The sequence below is a fragment of the Homo sapiens genome, chromosome 16 (genome assembly GCF_000001405.40).
Source record: "Homo sapiens chromosome 16, GRCh38.p14 Primary Assembly".
Taxonomy (NCBI): Eukaryota; Metazoa; Chordata; class Mammalia; order Primates; family Hominidae; genus Homo; species Homo sapiens.
Window position 1 is genome coordinate 46446915 of NC_000016.10, and position 8915 is coordinate 46455829.

Sequence of the window (8915 nt, forward strand, 5' to 3'; positions counted from 1 at the left end):
ATGGAGGTAAAGATACTCAAAATATTACCCTAAAATACATTTTTTTTGAGATGGAGTTTTGCTCTTATTGTCCAGGCTAGAGTGCAATGGCACAATCTTGGCTCACTGCAACCTCAGCCTCCCAGGGTCAAGTAATTCTCCTAGCTCAGTCTCCCAAGTAGCTGAGATTACAGGCATGCACCACCACACTAGGCTAATTTTTTGGATTTAGTAGAGACGTGGTTTCACCATGTTGGTCAGGCTGGTCTCCAACTCCTGACTTCAGGTGATCTACCTACTTCAGCCTCCCAAAGTGCTGGGATTACAGGCGTGCCCCTGGCCAGCTTTTTGACATATTTCAAGATGGCTACTCGGAAGACTGAAGATAGCTTCTTCTACAAGAATAGCTGAAAAGCTCTGTTTGTTGGGGAGATTTGCATTTGTAGAGAAAAATCTACATTGATATAGACAGGCTTTCCCTGAGATACTCCCTTGTCTGGGTTTAGGAAAGATTAACTGAGCCTGGCACGTTTACATTTCTAAAAACCATTTCCTATCGATACTTCCCAATAGGAGGGCTGCTCCCTGTGAGGTTTCATCCATGTAACAAGACCACCTCTGCTGACAGGCTCCTCTTTCTTCCTTGTCGTCACCTGTCTTCCGCAAAGCCTGATTTACCAACCTACAGCTCTGTGTTTTCTGTAACCTCAAGACAGCATAGGCGTGTTGACTACCTTGCCTTTCCTGGAGTTTTTATATATATAGTATATATTTGTATATCTATTTATAATATACAAATATTTGTATAGATATATTTATATATATTATGTAAACTCCAAGTGCATACTTGTGCACATATCTGTAAACCTTTTTTTCCTGTTAAATTGTACATTATCAGTTTGTTTTGTAGACTCAAATAATTAAAGCTTCAAGGGAAAAATTTAAACTTTCCTATAGAGAAAAGACAAATATATAGGTGACAAATAATATTTAGACTGTAAGACGCTTTTTAAAGGTATATTTGCAATTTGTGGCAAAATATTTAAATATACATTTGTTATTTTAACTATAAAATTTCAAATTATTTAAGCCAAATACATAGTATATGCAGAAAATTTAGCAATATATCTATGTAGCACCTTACCGTACATTACTGTAACCAGCCATCTAATATAAAGAATTAATTAAGGTAGCTACTTTTCAAAGAGCGCATTTTTTTCACAGACCTATTAAATAAGACAAATAACATTTAAACTTTATTTTTAAATTTGCAGAATAGTAGTTTTCAGCAGATGGTTTATTTTAGCAAATTCCATCTTCACATTGTGCTATGCTTTTATGAGTTCCAGCTGTTAACGGATAATATTTTACTGCTGAAACTATCAAGTGTGATATAATTACTCATTATGTGCCTTAAAACACAAGCAGTATAATTATTTTCATCTTGGAGCAAATTAAAATCTTATCAGCAATTTAAAAACTCTAGAGTCGTCTTCTCCTGGTTAATTATTTTAAACTTGTATTTTTCTCTTTATGTGTTTAGTGAGTTGTCTTATCAAGGAGAAGAACTCAAGCTGATTGTTCTTTTTTTTCTCTTCCATCCACCTCGCAGGTGTGTTAATAATTTCATTTCTCAGAAAATGTTCTTTCATATCCATCTTACAAGATGAGAGACCTTTTAACATCTTCCATTCGGATGTGATACCAGTAATGGAAAATATTCCAGCTTCATGAATATGGTGATACAAATACTTATCCGTCTAACCTCTTTCAGTGTCAAATGTTTACTTTACTCAGTGAATTACTCAGTTGACTGGTAATTTCTTCTGAAATCACGAATGAGAGGATCAGAGGTCTGGCTGTTGTCTGTACCTCATATGACTCCCAGTGCAGACAATTGTTTCTATGGAGCACAGACAGTTGAAAGGATTGACTTCCTGCCTAGAATAGTTTCTGCTGTGCTTCTTATCCTTCTTGTGGAGATTTCAGATTATCTGAATTGCTTTTCTATCTTGAGAAAAAACGCAACAATTCTCCCACCTGAGAGGAATGTAAACCGTAGTAAGTTAGCAGAACCAATCCGTAAAATTTTTACATTGTTAGTTGCAAAATGCAGCGCTGGTGTCTCCATCACTAACCTTTTCTATCCCTCATTGCTCTTTCTTTGACTGCAATAGGATACCTCTAGGCAAATCTGTATTCCCGAGACAGAGTGCCCTTTTGGTGAGCTATAAGCACACTCAATGGTAGGCTGAAATACTAGCTTTTATCTATGGCAAAATGGAATCATATCAGTGATTTTTTTAAAGAGGAAATCTAACTCTTGCTATGGTTTGAATGCTTGCCCCTTCCAGTCTCATGTTAAAATTTGATCCCCAATGTTGCAGGTGGGGCTTACTGGCAGGTATTTGGTCATGGGGTTGGACCTTCATGAATGGATAATACCCTCCCTTAGAAATCTAAAGCTATCTTCCCTCCTCGGTGCCCTCAGGAATGAGTGTACCATTCTTTTTTTTTCTTCTTTTTTTTATTATACTTTAAGTTTTAGGGTACATGTGCACATTGTGCAGGTTAGTTACATATGTATACATGTGCCATGCTGGTGCGCTGCACCCACTAACTCGTCATCTAGCATTAGGTATATCTCCCAATGCTATCCCTCCGCCCTCCCCCCACCCCACCACAGTCCCCTGAGTGTGATATTCCCCTTCCTGTGTCCATGTGATCTCATTGTTCAATTCCCACCTATGAGTGAGAATATGCGGTGCTTGGTTTTTTGTTCTTGTGATAGTTTACTGAGAATGATGATTTCCAATTTCATCCATGTCCCTACAAAGGACATGAACTCATCATTTTTTATGGCTGCATAGTATTCCATGTTGTATATGTGCCACATTTTCTTAATCCAGTCTATCATTGTTGGACATTTGGGTTGGTTCCATGTCTTTGCTATTGTGAATAATGCCACAATAAACATACGTGTGCATGTGTCTTTATAGCAGCATGATTTATAGTCATTTGGGTATATACCCAGTAATGGGATGACTGGATCAAATGGTATTTATAGTTCTAGATCCCTGAGGAATCGCCACACTGACTTCCACAATGGTTGAACTAGTTTGCAGTCCCACCAACAGTGTAAAAGTGTTCCTATTTCTCCACATCCTCTCCAGCACCTGTTGTTTCCTGACTTTTTAATGATTGCCATTCTAACTGGTGTGAGATGGTATCTCATAGTGGTTTTGATTTGCATTTCTCTGATGGCCAGTGATGATGAGCATTTTTTCATGTGTTTTTTGGCTGCATAAATGTCTTCTTTTGAGAAGTGTCTGTTCATATCCTTCGCCCACTTTTTGATGGGGTTGTTTGTTTTTTTCTTGTAAATTTGTTTGAGTTCATTGTAGATTCTGGATATTAGCCCTTTGTCAGATGAGTAGGTTGCGAAAATTTTCTCCCATTTTGTAGGATGCCTGTTCACTCTGATGGTAGTTTCTTTTGCTGTGCAGAAGCTCTTTAGTTTAATTAGATCCCATTTGTCAATTTTGTCTTTTGTTGCCATTGCTTTTGGTGTTTTAGACATGAAGTCCTTGCCCATGCCTATGTCCTGAATGGTAATGCCTAGGTTTTCTTCTAGGGTTTTTATGGTTTTAGGTTTAACGTTTAAATCTTTAATCCATCTTGAATTGATTTTTGTATAAGGTGTAAGGAAGGGATCCAGTTTCAGCTTTCTACATATGGCTAGCCAGTTTTCCCAGCACCATTTATTAAATAGGGAATCCTTTCCCCATTTCTTGTTTTTCTCAGGTTTGTCAAAGATCAGACAGTTGTAGGTATGCGGCGTTATTTCGGAGGGCTCTGTTCTGTTCCATTGATCTATATCTCTGTTTTGGTACCAGTACCATGCTGTTTTGGTTACTGTAGCCTTGTAGTATAGTTTGAAGTCAGGTAGCATGATGCCTCCAGCTTTGTTCTTTTGGCTTAGGATTGACTTGGCGATGCGGGCTCTTTTTTGGTTCCATATGAACTTTAAAGTAGTTTTTTCCAATTCTGTGAAGAAAGTCATTGGTATCTTGATGGGGATGGCATTGAATCTGTAAATTACCTTGGGCAGTATGGCCATTTTCACGATATTGATTCTTCCTACCCATGAGCATGGAATATTCTTCCATTTCTTTGTATCCTCTTTTATTTCATTGAGCAGTGGTTTGTAGTTCTCCTTGAAGAGGTCCTTCACATCCCTTGTAAGTTGGATTCCTAGGTATTTGATTCTCTTTGAAGCAATTGTGAATGGGAGTTCACTCATGATTTGGCTCTCTGTTTGTCTGTTGTTGGTGTATAAGAATGCTTGTGATTTTTGTACATTGATTTTGTATCCTGAGACTTTGCTGAAGTTGCTTATCAGCTTAAGGAGATTTTGGGCTGAGACAATGGGGTTTTCTAGATATACAATCATGTCATCTGCAAACAGGGACAATTTGACTTCCTCTTTTCCTAATTGAATACCCTTTATTTCCTTCTCCTGCCTAATTGCCCTGGCCAGACTTCCAACACTATGTTGAATAGGAGTGGTGAGAGAGGGCATCCCTGTCTTCTGCCAGTTTTCAAAGGGAATGCTTCCAGTTTTTGCCCATTCAGTATGATATTGGCTGTGGGTTTGTCATAGATAGCTCTTATTATTTTGAAATACGTCCCATCAATACCTAATTTATTGAGAGTTTTTAGCATGAAGGGTTGTTGAATTTTGTCAAAGGCTTTTTCTGCATCTATTGAGATAATCATGTGGTTTTTGTCTTTGGCTCTGTTTATAAGCTGGATTACATTTATTGATTTGGGTATATTGAACCAGCCTTGCATCCCAGGGATGAAGCCCACTTGATCATGGTGGATAAGCTTTTTGATGTGCTGCTGGATTCGGTTTGCCAGTATTTTATTGAGGATTTTTGCATCAATGTTCATCAAGGATATTGGTCTAAATTTCTCTTTTTTTGTTGTGTCTCTGCCCGGCTTTGGTATCAGAATAATGCTGGCCTCATAAAATGAGTTAAGGAGGATTCCCTCTTTTTCTATTGATTGGAATAGTTTCAGAAGGAATGGTACCAGTTCCCCCTTGTACCTCTGGTAGAATTCGGCTGTGAATCCATCTGGTCCTGGACTCTTTTTGGTTGGTAAGCTATTGATTATTGCCACAATTTCAGCTCCTGTTATTGGTCTATTAAGAGATTCAACTTCTTCCTGGTTTAGTCTTGGGAGAGTGTATGTGTCGAGGAATTTATCCATTTCTTCTAGATTTTCTAGTTTATTTGCGTAGAGGTGTTTGTAGTATTCTCTGATGGTAGTTTGTATTTCTGTGGGATCGGTGGTGATATCCCCTTTATCATTTTTTATTGTGTCTATTTGATTCTTCTCTCTTTTTTCTTTATTAATCTTGCTAGTGGTCTATCAATTTTGTTGATCCTTTCAAAAAACCAGCTCCTGGATTCATTAATTTTTTGAAGGGTTTTTTGCGTCTCTATTTCCTTCAGTTCTGCTCTGATTTTAGTTATTTCTTGCCTTCTGCTAGCTTTTGAATGTGTTTGCTCTTGCTTTTCTAGTTCTTTTAATTGTGATGTTAGGGTGTCAATTTTGGATCTTTCCTGCTTTCTCTTGTAGGCATTTAGTGCTATAAATTTCCCTCTACACACTGCTTTGAATGCGTCCCAGAGATTTTGATATGTTGTGTCTTTGTTGTCGTTGGTTTCAAAGAACATCTTTATTTCTGCCTTCATTTCGTTATGTACCCAGTAGTCATTCAGGAGCAGGTTGTTCAGTTTCCAAGTAGTTGAGCGGCTTTGAGTGAGATTCTTAATCCTGAGTTCTAGTTTGATTGCACTGTGGTCTGAGAGATAGTTTTTTATAATTTCTGTTCTTTTACATTTGCTGAGGAGAGCTTTACTTCCAACTATGTGGTCAATTTTGGAATAGGTGTGGTGTGGTGCTCAAAAAAAATGTATATTCTGTTGATTTGGGGTGGAGAGTTCTGTAGATGTCTATTAGGTCCGCTTGGTGCAGAGCTGAGTTCAATTCCTGGGTATCCTTTTTGACTTTCTGTCTCTTTGATCTGTCTAATGTTGACAGTGGGGTGTTAAAGTCTCCCATTATTATTGTGTGGGAGTCTAAGTCTCTTTGTAGGTCACTCAGGACTTGCTTTATGAATCTGGGTGCTCCTGTATTGGGTGCATATATATTTAGGATAGTTAGCTCTTCTTGTTGAATTGATCCCTTTACCATTATGTAATGGCCTTCTTTGTCTCTTTTGATCTTTGTTGGTTTAACGTCTGTTTTATCAGAGACTAGGATTGCAACCCCTGCCTTTTTTTGTTTTCCATTTGCTTGGTAGATCTTCCTCCATGCTTTTATTTGAGCCTATGTGTGTCTCTGCACGTGAGATGGGTTTCCTGAATACAGCACACTGATGGGTCTTGACTCTTTATCCAATTTGCCAGTCTGTGTCTTTTAATTGGAGAATGTAGTCCATTTACATTTAAAGTTAATATTGTTATGTGTGAATTTGATCCTGTGATTATGATGTTAGCTGGTGATTTTGCTCGTTAGTTGATACAGTTTCTTCCTAGTCTCGATGGTCTTTACATTTTGGCATGATTTTGCAGTGGCTGGTACTGGTTGTTCCTTTCCATGTTTAGCGCTTCCTTCAGGAGCTCTTTTAGGGCAGGTCTGGTAGTGACAAAATCTCTCAGCATTTGCTTGTCTGTAAAGTATTTTATTTGTCCTTCACTTATGAAGCTTAGCTTGGCTGGATATGAAATTCTGGGTTGAAAATTCTTTTCTTTAATAATGTTGAATATTGGCCCTCACTCTCTTCTGGCTTGTAGGGTTTCTGCCGAGAGATCCACTGTTAGTCTGATGGGCTTCCCTTTGAGGGTAACCCGACCTTTCTCTCTGGCTGCCCTTAACATTTTTTCCTTCATTTCAACTTTGGTGAATGTGACAATTATGTGTCTTGGAGTTGCTCTTCTCGAGGAGTATCTTTGTGGAATTCTCTGTATTTCCTGAATCTGAACATTGGCCTGCCTTGCTAGATTGGGGAAGTTCTCCTGGATAATATCCTGCACAGTGTTTTTCAACTTGGTTCCATTCTCCTCGTCACTTTCAGGTACACCAATCAGACGTAGATTTGGTCTTTTCACATATTCCCATATTTCTTAGAGGCTTTGCTCATTTCTTTTTATTCTTTTTTCTCTAAACTTCCCTTCTCACTTCATTTCATTCATTTCATCTTCCATCGCTGACACCCTTTCTTCCAGTTGATCGCATCGGCTCCTGAGGCTTCTGCATTCTTCACGTAGTTCTTGAGCCTTGGTTTTCAGCTCCATCAGCTCCTTTAAGCACTTCTCTGTATTGGTTATTCTAGTTATACATTCTTCTAAATTTTTTTCAAAGTTTTCAACTTCTTTGCCTTTGGTTTGAATATCCTCCCGTAGCTCAGCATAATTTGATCGTCTGTAGCCTTCTCTCAGCTCGTCAAAGTCATTCTCCATCCAACTTTGTTCTGTTGCTGGTGAGGAGCTGCTTTCCTTTGAAGGAGGAGAGGTGCTCTGATTTTTAGAGCTTCCAGTTTTTCTGTTCTGTTTTTTCCCCATCTTTGTGGTTTTATCTACTTTTGGTCTTTGATGATGGTGATGTACAGATGGGTTTTTGGTGTGGATGTCCTTTCTGTTAGTTTTCCTTCTAACAGACAGGACCCTCAGCTGCAGGTCTGTTGGAATACCCTACCGTGTGAGGTGTCAGTGTGCCCCTGCTGGGGGTGCCTCCCAGTTAGGCTGCTCGGGGATCAGGGGTCCGGGACTCACTTGAAGAGGCAGTCTGCCGGTTCTCAGATCTCCAGCTGCGTGCTGGGAGAACCACTGCTCCCTTCAAAGCTGTCAGACAGGGACATTTAAGTCTGCAGAGGTTACTGCTTTTTGTTTGTCTGTGCACTGCCCCCAGAGGTGGAGCCTACAGAGGCAGGCAGGCCTCCTTGAGCTGTGGTGGGCTCCACCCAGTTCGAGCTTCCTGGCTGCTTTGTTTACCTAAGCAAGCCTGGGCAATGGCTGGCGCTCCTCCCCCAGCCTGGCTGCTGCCTTGCAGTTTGATCTCAGACTGCTGTGCTAGCAATCAGCGAGATTCCGTGGGTGTAGGACCCTCTGAGCAAGGTGTGGGATATAGTCTTGTGGTGCGCCATTTTTTAAGCCGGTCTGAAAAGCGCAATATTCAGGTGGGAGTGACCCGATTTTCCAGGTGCGTCTGTCACCCCTTTCTTTGACTCGGAAAGGGAACTCCCTGACCCCTTGCGCTTCCCAGGTGAGGCAATGCCTCGCCCTACTTTGGCTCGCGCACCGTGCGTGTACCCACTGGCCTGCGCCCACTGTCTGGCACTCCTTAGTGAGATGAACTCGGTACCTCAGATGGAAATGCAGAAATCACCCGTCTTCTGCTTCGGTCACGCTGGGAGCTGTAGACCGGAGCTGTTCCTATTCGGCCATCTTGGCTCCTCCCTCGAGTGTACCATTCTTTATTCACCTATAATTCCCCCACCCATCCTTATTGAGATATTAATTACATGTATGTTACACTGCTGCATATTGTCTGACGTATCAGTGAGTTTCTGGCTTTCTTATTTTAGTTTACCCTTTGTCCTTTAGTTTGTAAAGCTTCTATTTTTTTCTATAAATTTTCGGATGTTAGGGTAAAATCCATTACTTATACTATCTCATGGAATTTTTATTTCAAATATTTATTTTTCATCTATACATATCACATTTTTCATTTTATAACTTCTATTTTTCTCCTATGTTCAATTTTCATTTAAGTACCTTGACATATATATATGTATTTATCTATATGTATTTATAAAATATATTTACTTTAAGGACCTTGAAATTTCCTTCTTTTTCTGTCAT